We start from the raw sequence: 17,972 nt of genomic DNA, 5'->3' as shown, positions 1-17,972 counted from the left end.
CCTACTTTGGGGCACTGTGCAGCTCCCAGGGATGGTGGGAAGTGCTGCTTATTCCAGAGCCAGCTATAAGAAACACTCCTTCTTTTTTTTGAGACAGTCTCACTCTGTTGCCCAGGCTGGAGTGCAGTGGTACGATCTCAGCTCACTGCAACCTCTGCCTCCCAGGTTCAAGCGATTCTCCTGCCTCAGCCTCCCAAGTAGCTGGGATGACAGGTGCGCACCACCACGCTCAGCTAATTTTTGTACTTTTAGTAGAGACAGGGTTTTGTCATGTTGGCCAGGCTGGTCTTGAACTCCTGACCTCAAGTGATCTGCCCAGCTCGGCCTCCCAAAGTGCTGGGATTACAGGCTTGAGCCACCGCACCCAGCCAGAAACACTCTTTCAAATTCCAGCTCCCAGACTGGCAAAACCCACACACTGCTCCACGTGTTGCGCAGAAGAGTCACAGATGCTGTTCCCGCGGCCGGAGGATGAGTCGCACCGCCAGGCTCACAGCAGGACACGTCAGCATCCACCATGACGGTGCCCCAAGTCACGGAGGCTTTGCACGTGATTTACCTGTTCGGTTTTTCTTGCAATGAGATTGCCAATGGTCTTGCTGAAAAAACTGGCGAGCAGAGGATTGAGAGGCGGCTCATGGTCCAAGAAGTCGTACAGGAGGCTCAGCAGGCTCTCGTCCCCACCGAGGCGGTCGCTGATCTGCGGCACATCACAAGTCAGAAGCTCACAGGCTGTGTTTGGATATCTAAAAGGGCACAGTCCAAGCACTGGAGGTGAAATTAGACTTCTCCAACTCTTAGGAAGCTGCTTACATAGTCTGCTTCTTAGGAAGCAGACCCACGTGATCAAACAAACACTACAGACCTCAGAACAGAACAAAAACGTGACTACCTGTGACCAGCTGGTATTTCTGACTACTAGAAGTTCAGTTTTTTAACATACCTTCTATGCTCCTCATGCCCTATACGCTGATATCTGACATTTTCTGACCCTACTCCCATTCTTTAAATAACCTTTCTCAGTCTTCCGGCTTTTCCTCTCTCCAGGCCTTCACACTCGCCTGCCAGGTCTCTCACCTCCCTCTAGGCCTTCACACTCGCCTGCCAGGCCTCTCACCTCTCTCCAGGCCTCTCACCTCTCTCCAGGCCTCTCACCTCCCTCTAGGCCTTCACACTCGCCTGCCAGGTCTCTCACCTCTCTCCAGGCCTCTCGCCTCTCTCCAGGTCTCTCACCTCTCTCCAGGCCTCTCACCTCTCTCCAGGCCTCTCGCCTCTCTCCAGGCCTCTCGCCTCTCTCCAGGCCTTCACACTCGCCTGCCAGGTCTCTCACCTCCCTCCAGGCCTTCACACTCGCCTGCCAGGCCTCTCACCTCTCTCCAGGCCTTCACACTCGCCTGCCAGGTCTCTCACCTCTCTCCAGGCCTCTCACCTCTCTGCAGGTCTCTCACTTCTCTCCAGGCCTCTCGCCTCTCTCCAGGCCTCTCACCTCTCTCCAGGCCTCTCACCTCTCTCCAGGCCTTCACACTCGCCTGCCAGGCCTCTCACCTCTCTCCAGGCCTCTCACCTCTCTCCAGGCCTCTCACCTCCCTCCAGGCCTTCACACTCACCTGCCAGGCCTCTCGCCTCTCTCCAGGCCTCTCACCTCTCTCCAGGCCTCTCACCTCTCTCCAGGCCTTCACACTCACCTGCCAGGCCTCTTACCTCTCTCCAGGCCTCTCACCTCTCTCCAGGCCTTCACACTCGCCTGCCAGGCCTCTCACTTCTCTCCAGGCCTCTCACCTCTCTCCAGGCCTTCACACTCGCCTGCCAGGCCTCTCACTTCTCTCCAGGCCTCTCACCTCTCTCCAGGCCTTCACACTCGCCTGCCAGGCCTCTCACCTCTCTCCAGGCCTCTTACCTCTCTCCAGGCCTCTCACCTCTCTCCAGGCCTTCACACTCGTCTGCCAGGCCTCTCGCCTCTCTCCAGGCCTCTCACCTCTCTCCAGGCCTTCACACTTGCCTGCCAGGCCTCTCACCTCTCTCCAGGCCTTCACACTCGTCTGCCAGGCCTCTCGCCTCTCTCCAGGCCTCTCACCTCTCTCCAGGCCTTCACACTCGCCTGCCAGGCCTCTCACCTCTCTCCAGGCCTCTCACCTCCCTCCAGGCCTTCGCACTCGCCTGCCAGGCCTCTTGCCTCCCTCCAGGCCTCTCACCTCCAGTCTAACCACACTGTTTCCGCGAGGCCACATCTGTGGCCATTTCCATCTTCCCCTCCACTGAGCCTCTCCTTTCCTTCTAAGCCATGCCCCTTCCATCAACAAACACAGACCACTCCATCCCTAGACGGGAGAAACACCCATCAGCCGCTCAGGAACCATGTGAGGGATGAGGCACTACGCAAGAACGTTATGACTAAGAAATACCAACACCTGTGAATAAGGTACTTTGCTCCCTCTTTTGTAACTGGTAGACAGAGGTGGGTGACAGCCATCGCCCCAGGAGAGGTACACCCCACAGCCCAGGACGCAGCCCTCAACAGCAGCCCCCATAGCAAGGCCTGGTGCATGACCCTGCCTCTGGGAATGCTGGGGAGGAGCCCAGGGCCCACCCAGTGGGAGCGTCCTGTAGGAATGGCTGTCTCAGAACAGGCCTGTCCTGACACCAGCAAGTGACCTGTCCTCTCTGTGTCTGGGTTTTCTCATCTGAACGTGCAGGTAAGGACGGGCACGGTGGCTTACACCTATAACCCCAGCACTTTGGGAGGGTGGGCAGGTGGATCACTCTTGAGCTCAGGAGTGGGAGACTAGCCTGGGCAACATGGTGAAACTCCGTCTCTCCAAAAAAAAAAAAAAAAAACAAGAAAGAAAGAAAAATTAGCCAGGCGAGGTGGCACATGCCTGTGGTCTCAGCTACATGGGAGGCTGAGGTGGCAGGATGGCTTGAGCCCGGGAGGCGCAGGATGGCTTGAGCCCGGGAGGCAGAGGTTGCCGTGAGCCAAGATCACACCACTGCACTCCAGCCTGGGTGGCAGAGTAAGACTCTGACTTAAAAAAAGAATATATGCCGGGTGCAGTGGCTCACACCTGTAATCCCAGCACTTTGAGAGGCCGAGGCAGGTGGATCACCTGAGGTCAGGAGATTGACACCATTCTGGCCAACATGGTGAAACCCCATCTCTACTAAAAATACAAAAATTAGCCAGGTGTGGTGGTGGGCGCCTGTAATGCCAGCTACTGGGGAGGCTGAGGCAGGAGAATCACTTGAACCTGGGAGGCAGAGGTTGCAGTGAGATGAGATCAAGCCACTGCACTCCAGTCTGGGTGACAGAGCGAGACTCTTGTTTCCAGAAAAAAAAAAAAAAAAAAATAGAATGTGCAGGTGACAGTGCCTGCCCATGCCTGTCACACAGCAAATGTGTGCTCAAGGTCAGCTGCTATGACCTTCCTTCTCTTGCCAACATGTGGCCACCGCCAGGTAGAGAGGCAGCCCTAGCACTGGACCTAAGCCAAGGTGGTCCACGCGACCGGCTGGAGGGGCCAGGGTTTGAGAGACTCTATAGGAAACAGCTGGCCAGGCCTGGCAGCCGACCAAGTGTGGAAGGGGAAGAAACGCAATGATCTCGGCTGGCTGGGGGGTGGGTGTGCCTCATCAGCCCAGACAAGAAAGTGCCACTTTTAGAGCTCTGAGGAACAGCGCCTGTGAAGGGCAGGTGGAGTGTAGAGGGTCAAAGAGTGGCCCAGCAGGCTTGGGTTTGGGAGAGAGGACCTGGCTGGGGCCCGATGGAGTAGGGTCAGGGCACAGGGGCACTGCAAGCTGGATGTGTGGGCAGAGAGGGGGCCTGAGAGCTGGCGCAGGGGGCTGGGGCAGGCCCAAGCTCATCCCCTCACTAGCCGACCTCACTAGCCGAACTTTCTGGCCTTTAGTGTCCTTGTCTGTTAATTGGGGCAGGCAGTACCCACCCTGTGGGATGTCAGAGGGGCTGGCCAGCAAGTGGACAACACATGGTCCCTCAGGGCAGGAGGACCAGAGAGCAGGAGAGGAGGGCCAGGTTGGCAGCCTCAAAGGCCACAGTGAGGCCCCAGGTCTACCAGATCTCTAACACTAAGACCGGTGAGCTGGGCAGGGGGAGGAAGTCACATCCCATGGGGTGAGGAGGAAGATCAAACGTAAGGAAGCAGAGAAACATCCAAATCATTCCTTGAAGAAGTGTCTCAATACCACAGGGAACAAACTGATTTTTTTTTTTCTTGAGACAGAGTCTTGCTCTGTTGCCCAGGCTGGAGTGCAGTGGTGCTATCTCAGCTCACTGCAACCTCCGCCTCCCGGGTTCACGTCCTGTCTCAGCCTCCTGTGTAGCTGGGATTACAGGCATGCACCACCATGCTCGGCTAACTTTTGTATTTTTGGTAGAGACGGGGTTTTACCATGATGGCCAGGCTGGTCTCGAACTCCTGACTTCAAGTGATCTGCCTGCCTTGGCCTCCCAAAGTGCTGGGATTACAGGCGTGAGCCACCACACCCAGCTCCAAACTCATCTTGTCTACACACGGACAAACGTGTGCACACATGGCACAAACCAAGCTAGAAGACACTGATTCTCTAGATGGAGGGACTAAGATTTTCTTTTTTCCTTTATCAACATTTTACAGTTATTCTTCAAATGACAGGTGCTGCTCTAGTAGTTTTAAAAATGTATACAAGGTATAGAAATTCCAGTCAAACACAGCAGATGGAGCACACAGGCTTGTTCATATTCCCTCTCAAACTCCATCTCAAATAACACAAAGAATTAAAAAGACAAGAATGGAGAGGCAGAAACGACGAACCAGCCTGGAGGACTGAAGCAGCCGGCCACGTGAAGACTGACTTGGCACAGGGAAGGCTGAGTTTCAGGAGCCCACAGAAGGGGCATCAACTAGAGATGAGAATTCAGGCCACAGAACTCCAGAGAGGCCTGGACACTGATTTGGCGGCCAGTAAGGGCAGGGTGGGCTGAGAACTTACAGGCCAGGGCAGTGGGACATGTCCCTTCCTTATGGCTCCTGGGGCCAGGGACACCAGGCACAGCCACAGGGTGACCAGACACCATCCAGAAATAGGGAACTTGGTAAAAAAAAAAAAAAAAAAGAAACTGGGGTGCCCCCAGCCCTCTTCCCAACTCAGCTCCTGATACTGACAGGTCCATTCCCCACAGGGGAGAGCTAGAAGGATTCTTTTCTGGGAAAAATAATGGGACAAAGAGAAAAGTCAACTAGTGGCCTCTAAGCTGTGGTGAGTAAGCCCCATGCAGATCCCAAACTCTGTGCAGGATCTAGGGCCCCACTTATGAAAGAAGCGTGGTGCTGACCAAGCAGAAAACAAGGCACACGGAGGAGAGCAAGTGTAGAGAACAGAAGGAAACTCTTTTAAACTACAATGTTCTCAGAGATGACACATTAAGACTGTGTATCCATGAATGAGAACTTGAAGCTTTTATTAAAATATATGAGAATAAGAAACTGCTCTTAGAAATTAAAAATATGGGCCAGGCGTGGTGGCTCACGCCTGTAACCCCAGCACTCTGGGAGAACAAGGCGGGCGGATCACTAGGTCAGGAGATCAAGACCATCCTGGCTAACACGGTGAAACCCTGTCTCTACTAAAAAATACAAAAAAATTAGCCGGGCGTGGTGGCAGGCGCCTGTACTCAAGAGGCTGAGGCAGGAGAATGGCGTGAACCCAGGAGGCGAAGCTTACAGTGAGCCGAGATTGTGCCACTGCATTCCAGCCTGGGCGACAGAGTGAGACTCCGTCTCAAAAAAAAAAAGAAAAAAGAAAAAGGGAGGCTGAGGCGGGAGAATGGTGTGAACCCAGGAGGCAGAGCTTGCAGTGAGCCAAGATCGCATCACTGTACTCCAGCCTGGGCGACAGAGCGAGACAGACTCTGTCTCAGAAAAAAAAAAAAAAAATTGGCCTGGCGCGGTGGCTCACGCCTGTAATCCAGCACTTTGGGAGGCCGAGGCGGGCGGATCACGAGGTCAGGAGATCGAGACCATCCTGGCTAACACGGTGAAATCCCGTCTCTACTAAAAAATATAAAAAATTAGCCGGGCGTGGTGGTGGGCGTCTGTAGTTCCAGCTACACGGGAGGCTGAGGCAGGAGAATGGCGTGAACCCGGAGGTGAAGGTTGCAGTGAGCCGAGATCGTGCCACTTCACTCCAGCCTGGGCGACAGAGCCAGACTCCATCTCAAAAAAAAAATAAAATTTTAAAATATGACAGATGTTAAGCATGGTGGCACCTGTGGTTCCAACTGCTTGGGAGGCTGAGATGGGAGGATCACTTGAGCCCAGGAGTTTGAGTCCAGACTGGGCAACATAGCAAGACCTCACATCTAAAAAACAAACAAAAAATAATGGTAGAACTTTGAAAAGTCAATAAAAGGATGAGAACTTAAAAGATGAAGAAGTCTCTCAGATGTAGGCCAAAAAGGCAAAGTACAAAACATTAAAAGCAAAAATAAGGAAAGCATTAATTTGAGTAATCTAACACCTCATTAGAAGTCCCAGAAAGAGAAAAGAGGGAAAATATCAAAGAAACAATATGAGAAATTTCCCTCAGCTAATGTCACAAATGTACAGACTAAAAGGGTTCAGGGAGCCCAGAACAACAAATGAAAGAAATGGATATCCACTGTTGACCTCATTTGTCTACTCGGGATATCTTTGCTTACTTATACAACTTTTCCCTTAGAGTCAATATTTTTCTGTTTGCTTGATTTTGTACTTACCTATTACTAAATTCGCCCAAGCTCTGACTATGAAACTCTCTTGGCTCAATGATGCTCTTTGGGGATCCCCTGTCCTGACCCATGGAATAATTCCACATTACTGGGAAATTGAGAAACAATAGGGCTTAGAAAAGAACCTAAATGCCCTCAGAGAGGAGAGAAAACAGGTGACACACGTGAGCCAGGAGCTTGCTACATCAGACTTGTGAGACTAGAGGACAACACGGAGGCTCCCAAAGCCCAGGGGGTAATGCCCAGTCTGAACTTCTAATCAGAGGGTCTCAAACACGCAGGCCCGATGCCCTAAACATCACCACCCACGAACTCCATCTCAGGAAGCTGTTTTAACAGAGTGTAATTTACCACAGGAAGTCAACCGAAGAAGAGGAAGAAGCCATGACAGGAGATGGACAATGGATGTGGAGTGGATGGTCAGTGGCCCAGGAACTGTTATGGCAAAGTTCCCTTCCTCCCAGTGTTTCCCTTGGTGGAGACGCTGTCTTTCTTTCAGTTCTGCCCTGAGTGCAGCAAGTCTCTCTGCGGCAGGGGGTGCTTCCTGGGGGCCCGCTGTGACCCACTGCTGCTTCCCACTGGGTGAGCAGTTCTAATTCTGCAATCAGGAATGAGGAAGCCCACAGCTCAGAGTTATAAATGACACTGCTTTATGAGTAATGAAAGCGACAGCTTGGTGTCTCTTACTGACTCTTCTGTCTTATTTCTCAAATAATCCAGATCTTGGCAAGCAAACTAGACAAGAGCTCACGAAAAGACCAGGAGCATCCCCAGGCTCTAGGGCTGACCATGTGACTGCTGCTGCCTCCAGCCCTGGGGTGGCGCCCTCTGCTGTGGCCTGGGCAGGCAGTGCTCTGACTCCAGAAGGTGACCAGCCATCTTACAGTCACAGTGGCTTTTCAGCCAAGGGCTGCTCCGCAGAAGCAGGGCTAGCTGCATGTGAGGCCTTAGGAAGAGGCAGCGTGTGGGCCTCACCTCCCTGGAGCAGCCCCTGGCTTTAATTAAGCAGGGTCAGTGGCTGCTACCTGATCCCAATCCACCCAAACCAAGTGCAGCTTCTCTTGAGCACAGACAGCTCAGGCAAATTCTCCACTTTCAAGAAGAGTCCTCCCATAATTGAGCCTGTGGTCATGGAGGTGTTCTGCCAGGTCTGCAGGAGAACCCTGACCTCCAAGGCTAACAGGTTGCGGGAGGCGGTGTTTAACCTGGCAGTGCCACTAGGCAAGGATAGCAGAGTCGCGAAGCACAGGTGCTGCTCTGTATAAATGAAGCCTTCTTGGAATGTAGCCCCATCCATTTGTTTACTATTTTCTGTAGCTGCTTTCATGCTACAACTTCAGAGTTGAGCCGTTGCAACAGAGACCTTACAACCTGCAAAGCCTAAAGTATTTACTCTCTGACTTTTCATAGATACAGTCTGCCAACTCCTGGTCTACATATATATTTATATCTTCTCCATCTTTTTTTATTTTTTAAAGAGATGACAGTCTTGCTGTGTCATGCAGGCTGGAGTGCACTTACTCTCTCAGCTTCCCAAGTAGCTGGGACTACAGGCACCGGCCACCACGCCTGGCTAATTCTTTGTATTTTTAGTACAGACGGGGTTTCACCGTGTTAGTCAGGATGGTCTCCATCTTCTGACCTCATGATCCGCCCGCCTCAGCCTCCCAAAGTGCTAGGATTACAGGCGTGAGCCACCACGCCCGGCCCCTATTCTATTTCTCAAAAAAAGTGTTTTTTGTTTCACTTTATTTACAAGGCTAGTCATGTGACGCAGACAGACTGAAGAAGGAAGAAAGAAATCTTAACTGCTTGTGACCAATTAGGTGTAAACACTGCTGCACTTTGACTAGCCTCAAAAAAAGTGTCTTCTGTAATCTTAGCACTATCCTAGCACTTTGGGAGGCCGAGGCAGGCAGATTGCCTGAGCTCAAGAGTTCAAGACCAGCCTGGCCAACATGGTAACCCCGTCTCTTCTAAAAATACAAAAAATTAGCCAGGCATGCTGGTGTGCGCCTGTAGTCCCAGCTACTAAGGAGACCGAGGTAGGAGAACTGCTTGAACCCAGGAGGCGGAGGTTGCAGTGAGCCAAGATCGCGCCACTGCACTCCAGCCTGGTTGACAGAAAGGACTGTGTTTCCAAAAAAAAAAAAAAAAAAGTCTTAATATGTTTTTTTTTTTAAATAAAGAAATAGAGATGGGGGCCGGGTGCAGTGGCTCATGCCTGTAATCCCAGCACTTTGGGAGGCTGAGGCAGATGGATCACCTGAGGTCGGGAATTCGAGACCAGCCTGGCCAACATGGTGAAACCCTGTCTCTACTAAAAATACAAAAAATTAGCTGGGTGTGGTGATGCATGTCTGTAATCCCAGCAACTCGGGAGCCTGAGGCAGGAGAATCACTTGAACCTGGGACGCGGAGGTTGTAGTGAACCGAGATCGCACCACCGTACTCCAGCCTGGGCGACAGAGTGAGACTCCATCTCAGACCAAAAAAAAAAAAAAAAAAGAGATGGAGTCTCGCTATATTGCCCAGGCTGGTCTTCAACTCCTGGGCGTAAGTGATCCTCCCACCTCAGCCTCCCAAAGTGCTGGGATTACCAGCGTGAGCCACCACACCTGACTTTCATGTTTTTTATACAAGTGATATGTGCACGTGCTTTAAAACCTCAGATGACAGGGCTGGTGAGGACAGGCCCCCCTGCCCCCATCCCAAGTCACACTCCTCAGAGAAAAGCTCAGAGATGACAAGGCTGGTGAGGACAGGCCCCCCCGCCCCCATCCCAAGTCACACTCCTCAGAGAAAAGCTCAGAGATGACAAGGCTGGTGAGGACAGGCCCCCTGCCCCCATCCCAAGTCACACTCCTCAGAGAAAAGCTCAGAGATGACAAGGCTGGTGAGGACAGGCCCCCCCGCCCCCATCCCAAGTCACACTCTCCTCAGAGAAAAGCTCAGAGATGACAAGGCTGGTGAGGACAGGCCCCCCTGCCCCCATCCCAAGTCACACTCCTCAGAGAAAAGCTCAGAGATGACAAGGCTGGTGAGGACAGGCCCCCCTGCCCCCATCCCAAGTCACACTCCTCAGAGAAAAACTCAGAGATGACAGGGCTGGTGAGGACAGGCCCCCTGCCCCCCAGCATCCCAAGTCATGCTCCTCAGAGGCAATCACTGGACTCTTTCAGCAGTTTTCTCCAACGTTAACCTCCATGTTTCTAAATAATACACACATACATTTCTTCTTTGTTCACCAATTTTAGACATTATGAATTAACTTCCTACAATGGAAGGCAAAGCTTTCCCACCACCCGACTTCCCTCTCCCTTTCCCTCCCTCCGAGTCACAGGGTAATTTAGATGGATATCCTGACCTGGATTGTTTACTCAGGGCATCTCTGCTTACTTAGGGAAGTCTTCCCCTAGTCCTCTTGCTCTCCCTCCGAAGTCACAGGGTAATTTAAATGGATATCCTGACCTGGGTTGTTTACTCAGGGCATCTTTGCTTACTTACGGAAGTCTCCCCCCAGGTTCATAGTCCTCTTGCTCTGTTTGCTTGGTTCTGTACTTATCTACTACTGATTTCTCCCAAACTCTATGAGACTCTCCCGGCTCACTGATGCTACTCTGGGATTCCTGTCCTGATCCAGAAGACCCCTCCCCACTCTCCTTGCCCCATACCTGTCTCTCAACTCTAATTTGTCACCAGACTGGGCCACATTTGAAAGTGGGAGGGATGGGGACTGTCAACAGTGATGCTGACACAGCAGGTGTGACCAGAAGCCACAGCAGCTTCTGGCTGCAGCTGCCCCACCCTAACCCTCAGTTCCTTACAGCAAGGCCCTGCTCAGGCTAGAACTCTCCTCCCCAACCCAGCACTGCTCCCCTTACCTAAGAGGACGCCTGACCACCCTAAATGAAGTACTGACCACCCCCTGCCACAGGGACACCCTGGCTCACTATCCTGCTTTATCTTCCTTCTAAGACAAAGGCCAGCAAAGAGTTTCTATAAATGGCCAGGGAGGAATTATTTGCCGTGGCCCCTGCTGGAGCTGCTCAACGCTATGAGACGTGGATGAGTGTGGCTGTGTCTAACAAGACTTTATTGGTGGATACTGAAACGTGTTTCATATCGTTTTCATGTGTGTGACAAAATATTCTTCCTTTGATTTTTTTTTTTTTTTTTTGAGACGGAGTCTCACTCTGTCGCCCAGGCTGGAGTGCAGTGGAGCGATCTTGGCTCACTGAAACCTCTACCTCCCAGGTTCAAGCAATTCTCCTGCCTCAGCCTTCTGAGTAGCTGGGATTATAGGCACATGCCACCACACCCAGCAAATTTTTGTATTTTTAGTAGAGACGGGGTTTCACCATGTTGGTCAGGCTGGTCTCGAACTCCTGACCTCGTGATCTGCCCGCCTTGGCCTCCCAAAGTGTTGGGATTACAGGTGTGAGCCACCACACCCGGCTTTTTTTTTTTTTTTTTTTTGAGCCAGAGTCTTGCTCTGTTGCCCAGGCTGGAGTGCAATGGCGCAATCTCAGCTCACTGCAACCTCCACCTCCTGGGTTCAAGCCATTCTCCTGCTTCAGCCTCCCGGAGTAGCTGAGATTACAGGCGTGCGCCACTACGCCCTGCTAATTTTTGTATTTTTATTAGAGACGGGGTTTCACCATGTTGGCCAGGCTGGTTTCGAACTCCTGACCTGAGGTGATCCGCCCGCCTTGGCCTCCCAAAGTGCTGGGATTACAGGTATGAGCCACGATGCCCGAGCTTCGATTTTTTTTTCCCCAACCATTTAAACAGGTAAAGGTAAAACGAGCCAGGCACAGTGGCTCACACCTATAATCCCAGCACTTTGGGAGGCCGAGGTGGGTGGATTGCTTGAGCCCAGGAGTCTGAAACCAGCCTGTGCAACGTGGTGAAACCCCGTCTCTACAAAAAAAATACAAAAATAAATTAGCCGGGCATGGTGGCACGCACCTGTAGTGCCAGCTACTAGGGAGGCTAAGGCGGGAGGATCACTTGGGACCAGGAGGCAGAGACTCTAGTGAGCCGAGATCATGCCACTGCACCCCAGCCTGGGCGATGGAGTGAGACCTTGTCTCAAAAAACTAAAATAAAAAATAATGTAAAACCATTCTTCACTCACAGGACACACGGAAAAGGACATGACCTGCAGGCCGAGGTTTGCTAACCTGTATGTATCTCCCACTTCCTAATGAGGCGTCACCTGGGGACACTGCGGGTCATGTGTGCCTCGCAGATCTGCACCATGAGGAGCTGGAGGCCAGCTCCGCCCTGTTCTCCCTCTCGCCCCAGCCCCATCCTTGCTCACCCTTCTGTCCTGACTCAAGGCCCTGAGGCTCCAGCCATCTCGCCACACTGCCCCCTCCCTCTGTGTCATCTCCTAGCATCCTGGCCAGGGCTGAATGGGCGTTTCAGGAAAAACTCTGAGAACGGACGGTACCACGAATGACAATGATCTATTTCCTTCGAGCTGAAGACCCTAAAATGAAGCATGTCCCAGGACTGTAGGTCAGATACTGCATATCTCTCCTGCCTAGCCATTTTGTGGCCTGGAGCCAACCCTGCTGACAGTACAGCCTTATGCTGCAATAACACCTGCATCTCTAGCATGGGATCAGTCTTTTTTTCCCAACATATTGCCACTCAAAACACTCTGACGTGTACCAACCTAAAATTAACTTTACTTAGAATGAAAAAATGCCGGCACAAGACAGTCAAAACTCTTTTTTTTTTTTTTTTTTTTGAGACAGAGTCACACTCTGTCACCCAGGATGCAGTGCAGTGGTGTGATCTCAGCTCACTGCAAGCTCCACCTCCCGGGTTCACACCAACCTCCTGCCTCAGCCTCCTGAGTACAGTAGCCTCTGGGACTACGGGCGCCCGCCACCATGCCCGGCTAATTTTTTGTATTTTTAGTAGAGACGGGGTTTCACCGTATTAGCCAGGATGGTCTCAATCTCCTGACCTAGCGATCTGCCTGCTTCGGCCTCCCAAAGTGCTGGGATTACAGACATGAGCCACTGTGCCCGGCCTTTTTTTTTTTTTTTTTTTTTTTTAAAGACAGGGTTTCACTCTTGTCACCCAGGCTGGAGTGCAGTGGCACAATCATGGCTCACTGCAGCCTCAACCTCCCAAGTTCAAGTGATCCTCCTACCTCGGCCTCCCGAGTAGCTGGAACCAGAGGTCTACAACACCACATCTGGCTAATTTAAAAAAAAAAATTTAATAGAGACAGGGTCGCACTATGTTGCCCAGGCTGGTCTCAAATTTCTGGGCTCAATTAATCCAACCTCCTCAGCCTCCCAAAGTGCTGGGATTACAGGCGTGAGCCACTGCACCCAATCTCCAAACTCTTCAACCTCAGACCCCATGGGAGTGCCCTCCTCACTTCTCACATGGGGTGGATTTTTACGGCTCGCTTCTTCATCAGAAATCCCCAACTATGGCCATCCTCAGACACTGCCTGCGGCCTGCCTGCAGCACTGCCTGGCGTACTGGCCCGTCACAGCTTTGGTACATACTTGAAGCGGACCTTCTCCTCCATGTCCAGGGGCGGATCCTGTGTGATGAGGCTCACCAGCTCCTCCATGCACTGCTGCCTGCACAGGAAGTCCAGCAGCTTCTGGTTCTGAGCCTTACACTCCTGCAAGATGTCATCTTCATCCATTAACTCCTGCAGCGTCACATGCTCCTTGTCCAGCAGCTTGTCAACATGGGACGTGGTGTTCAAGTCAAACTTCCAGAACATCGTGACGGCCGCAGAGCTGCAAACGAGGGCAAAGGGGTCACGTCTCTCACCCTTGCAAATCCACCTTCAGCAACACTAGACCCAAGTCCAAAGGGGTCATTTCTCTCACCTCTGCAGATCCACCCTCAGCAACACTAGACCCAAGTCCTGGAAGTCCATCTGCAGCATGAACACACAAGATTCCCAGAGCTCAGGATGGTGGGGGCCCTCCCCAGTAACCATTCCCATCAGACCTCTCCAGGTTGGGCTCACAAAGTTAGCAGACTTCCCAGCTGCTCAACAGCTCTGAGGCTGCACCCCCAGCTCCAGGACCTGCCTCCCCAGGTTCTCCTCTGGGCTAACCCCCTCCTTTGCCCTCCTTCCCCACACTGTCCCCCACCCACCAGCGTGCTCGACATGCCCCTCAATGCTCTTGCTTGCTCTGTAGTTCTGTTAGGCGAATGCGCCCAGGTGTCTCTCCCATGTGTCAGGGATGTCTTCTGTCCTGAGTGAACACTGGACATCTCCCCTCTGAAAGTCTCACATTTGTGAGCAAACTCAGCAAGTCAAAATCAAGACAGCTGATGCTGCCTGACCCTGCGCTCACTCCTCTGCCTCCCCCAGCCACCCGGCCCATCCACTCATCGTCCCCATCTTGCTGAATCACACCCAGGGTTCTCTCTGAAGCAGGCACCTCCTCACACATACACCAACTGGGCACTAGGTCTTGCCATAGGCACCTGAGGAATCACCACTGATCCAGCCCCTCCTCTGCTTCCCAAACATCCCAGCTCTTGCTGTCTTTGTCTGGACAGTCCTTCCTAGTGTCTCACATGTCATTCTGCAGGCCAGGGCTGGTTAGCAACAAAGTTTTCACTATTCTGATAGAAAGTGAAAACATAAAGCCTACATCTTTCACAAAGTTAAAACTTTACTGTGAGATTACAAATCTTTTCAATGTTACATGAAACATTTTAAAAATTATAGTAATAGTAGATGGAATTTATCTTATCTAATTTTTTACTTAGAAAAACAAAAGGCTGACCACAGATGTAAATGCCCAGGTTTGTCTGACTGTAAAGCCGGTGATGCCCTAGGACCCCTGACACGGGAGCCTCCATCGTCCAGCCACACTCCCACAGCCTCTGGCTTTGGCTAATTCAAACTCACTTGATGTCTACACATCTCATCTCAGCTCCAAAACCTCTCCTGGCCCCAGATACCTACCTGGCTGCTTTCTACAGCATGCCACCAGGTCCTCTGGGCAGCTCCTGGGTCTCCTGGACCCCATCCGCACTACAAGGATGCTGCATTTTTCTTCCCATGCAGATGGCACTTTCCTACTTGTACCCTCCTGCACAGGCTCCCCAGCACGCGACAGCTGCAGCTAAGGGTGAGGCCCTGCAGCCTCCGATCTATACACACCACTGGGCGGGCACTGCCCATGGGCTTAGAGGTGAAGAGCCCAGAGCTGGAGCTCTTGAGGCCCCAAAATGAAGCTGCTTTGACTTTCAGCACAAGGGACTCCATATATACACTGACACTACCTTCAGTTTTGATTTTGGGGTGGGTTTTTTTTTTTTTTTTTTCTGTAGAGACAGGGATTCACTATGTTGCCCAGGTTGGCCTCGAACTGCTGAGCTCAAGCAATCTGCCCTCCTTGGCCTCCCAAAGTGCTGGGATTACAGGCACTGAGCCACCAAGCCTGGTCTGCAATCAGTTTTCCTTCTAGGTCTTAAGATCTTCCTTATTCTTCTTGTAAGGGGTGTGGATAGATATTTATGAGTGGTAGCGGCAAACTTCAGAGGACCAGAAATAATGATTCCTAAAAGGACTTTCAGGAAAAGATGGCTGCCTCCACACACATATCAGATACTCCTCTCTCTGAAATGCACTACCAGATGTCTCACGTACTTGGATGACACACAATCCAGGGAAAGAAGTGAATCCAACCTTGTCAAGGCTTTTTTTTTTTTTTTTTGCCAAAATCAGAACTTGCAAGATAGGGCAGTTACAGGTGACTTCTGGACGGTCCTGTTTCTAGCCACAGAGAAGGTGGAAGCCTGGGTGGATTACAAAAGACCATCGACGAAATAGGATCCTGCTAGAAGAATTTTTCTAGTAGTATAATTTAAAACAACTGGATTAATCCAAAAGACCAAAACTAATAATAAAAATACAAGGAGATAAGCAACAAAAACAGAGGAGACAAAATAAAAAAAAAAAACAGCAAGATACCAGACATAAATTCAACCATTTCAATAAATGCATTAAATGCAAATAGTCATTTCAATTAAAGACAAACATTGTCAGACTGGATTTTATTTTTAAAGATGGTGTTTCGCCATGTTGTCCAGGCTGGAGTGCAGTGCCACAATCATAGCTCACTGCAGGCTCAAGCAGTCCTCCCATCTCAGCCTTCCAAGCAGCTAGGAATACAACCAAGAAATACCATGACCAGCTAATGTTTACATTTTTTTTTTTTTTTTTTTTTTTTGAGACGGAGTCTCACTCTGTAGCCCAGGCTGGAGTGCAGTGGCACGATCTTGGCTCACTGCAACCTCCGCCTCCCAGGTTCAAGTGATTCTCCTGCCTCAGTCTCCTGAGTAGTTGGGATTACAGGCATGCACCACCATGCCCAGCTGATTTTTTGTATTTTTAGTAGAGATGGGGTTTCACCATACTGGTCAGGCTGGTCTCGAACTCCTGACCTCGTGATCCGCCCACCTAGGCCCCCCACAGTGCTGGGATTACAGGTGTGAGCCACCGCGCCTGGACTATGTTTAAATTTTTTATAGAGATGGGGTCTCACTATGTTGCCCAGGCTGGTCTTGAACTCTAGGCCTCAAGCGCCTTGGCCTCCCAAAATGTCGGGATTACAGATGTGAGCCACTGCATCCGGCCTGAATTTCTTTTCTTTTTTTTTTTTTTGAGACGGAGTTTTGCTCTCTCACCCAGGCTGGAGTGCAGTGGCACGACCTCGGCTCACTGCAATCTCCGCCTCCTGGGGTCAAGCGATTCTCCTGCCTCACCCTCCTGAGTAGCTGGGATTACAGGCGTGTGCCACCACGCCCAGCTAATTTTTGTATTTTTAGTAGAGATGGGGTTTTACCATGTTAGTCAGGCTGGTCTTGAACTCCTGACCTCGTGATCTGTCCGCCTCGGCCTCCCAAAGTGCTGGGATTACAGGTGTGAACGACCGCGCCCGGCCCTGAATTTCTTTTATTATGTTGACACATATTTAGGATTGTTATGTCTTCTCTTTTTTTTGAGACGGAGTTTCACTCTCATTGCCCAGGATGGAGTGCAATGGTGCAACTTTGGCTCACTGCAACCTCTGCCTCCTGAGTTCAAGCGATTCTCCTGCCTCAGCCTCCCAAAATGCTGGGAATACAGGTGTGAACCACCACGCCTGGCCTGTTACGTCTTCTTGATGATTAATTCTTTGATCATTTTGAAATGTCCTTCATGATCTCTGGCAACATACCTTGTTTTGAAGTCGGCTTTGTCTGATATTAACATAGTACACCAATCTCACCATTCTTGTGATTCATGTTTGGTATGTCCTTTAACATCCTTTGACTTTCATCTACTTGTGCCTTTATATTTAAAATGTTTCTCTTGAAAAACGGCATATGGGCTGGGCGCGGTGGCTCCCGCCTGTAATCTCAGCACTTTGGGAGGATGAAGCGGGTGGATCACCTGAGGTCAGGAGTTTGAGACCAGCCTGACCAACATGGTGAAACCCCATCTCTAATAAAAACACAAAAATCAGATGGGCGTGGTGGTGGGTGCCTGTAATCCCAGCTACTTGGGAGGCTGAGGCAGGAGAATCGCCTGAACCCGAGAAGCAGAGGTTGTAGTAAGCCGATATCACACCACTGCACTCTGGCCTAGGTGACAGTGAGAGACTCCATCTCAAAAAAAAAAAGAAAAAAAAAGAAAAAGAAAAAAGAAAAAAATCTCCGCATAACAAGAACATTTCTATGTTTCTATCAGCTCTCCCCACATTCTAAGAAACACTCAAAAATGATCACATCAGGCTGGGCACTGTGGCTCATGCCTGTAATCCCAGCATTTTGCGGGGCCAAGGCGGGCAGATCACTTGAGGTCAGGAGTTCGAGACCAGCCTGGCCAACCCCATCTCTACCACAAATACAAAAATTAGCCAGGCATGGTGGTGCACATCTGAAATCCCAGCTAGTCGGGAGGCTGAGGCAGGAGAATCACTGGAACCCAGGAAGTGGAGGTTGCAGTGAGCTGAAATCACGCCACTACACTCCAGCCTGGGCGACAGAGCGAGAGCCGAGATCACGCCACTACACTCCAGCCTGGGCGACAGCGCGAGACTCCATCTCAAAAAAAAAAAAAAACAAAAAAAGATCACATCAGAGACATCCTTTAAGAGTTCACTGCAATGGCACTGGTTTAGTTACAGCTAATTTCACTGTCAAAGAAACTGGTATA

At 51.1% G+C, this 17,972-nt stretch overlaps 1 protein-coding gene across 59 annotated transcripts in view, besides 3 other annotated features; it reads right to left on the bottom strand.

Moving 5' to 3' along the window:
* Positions 1–17,972, bottom strand: part of PPP6R2 (protein phosphatase 6 regulatory subunit 2) — a 114,317-nt gene that overhangs the window by 37,656 nt on the left and 58,689 nt on the right. For 36 of the 59 annotated variants that reach the window (XM_047441654.1, XM_011530732.3, XM_047441646.1 and 33 more), the window contains 3 exons: positions 13,636–13,685; positions 13,300–13,542; positions 560–746 (listed from right to left, as the gene is read on the bottom strand). In XM_047441654.1, coding sequence (XP_047297610.1) covers positions 560–746; positions 13,300–13,542; positions 13,636–13,685 — 480 coding nt within the window. Of the gene's footprint in view, positions 1–559; positions 769–13,299; positions 13,543–13,635; positions 13,686–13,909; positions 15,569–17,972 lie in introns of those variants that run through there. The other 23 variants (XM_011530736.4, XM_006724431.4, NM_001351643.2 and 20 more) reach the window with 8 other exon arrangements.
* Positions 46–1,245: an enhancer, noted in NCBI's record as "MED14-independent group 3 enhancer chr22:50844619-50845818 (GRCh37/hg19 assembly coordinates)". NCBI's record gives its function as "activates an origin of replication core promoter dependent on BRD2, BRD4, P300/CBP and CDK7 cofactors, and independent of MED14, by STARR-seq in HCT116 cells {active_cell/tissue: HCT116}" and the evidence as "EXISTENCE:reporter gene assay evidence [ECO:0000049][PMID:35650434]".
* Positions 7,103–7,699: an enhancer, noted in NCBI's record as "H3K27ac-H3K4me1 hESC enhancer chr22:50838165-50838761 (GRCh37/hg19 assembly coordinates)". NCBI's record gives its function as "activates a minimal SCP1, AML or CMV promoter by ChIP-STARR-seq in primed H9 embryonic stem cells {active_cell/tissue: H9 hESC(primed)}" and the evidence as "EXISTENCE:reporter gene assay evidence [ECO:0000049][PMID:30033119]".
* Positions 9,109–9,609: an enhancer, noted in NCBI's record as "H3K4me1 hESC enhancer chr22:50836255-50836755 (GRCh37/hg19 assembly coordinates)". NCBI's record gives its function as "activates a minimal SCP1, AML or CMV promoter by ChIP-STARR-seq in naive H9 embryonic stem cells {active_cell/tissue: H9 hESC(naive)}" and the evidence as "EXISTENCE:reporter gene assay evidence [ECO:0000049][PMID:30033119]".

This window comes from Homo sapiens, chromosome 22 (genome assembly GCF_000001405.40).
Source record: "Homo sapiens chromosome 22, GRCh38.p14 Primary Assembly".
Classification (NCBI taxonomy): Eukaryota; Metazoa; Chordata; class Mammalia; order Primates; family Hominidae; genus Homo; species Homo sapiens.
The sequence above is the reverse complement of the archived record's forward strand: the minus strand, read 5'-3'. Positions and strand labels throughout refer to the sequence as shown.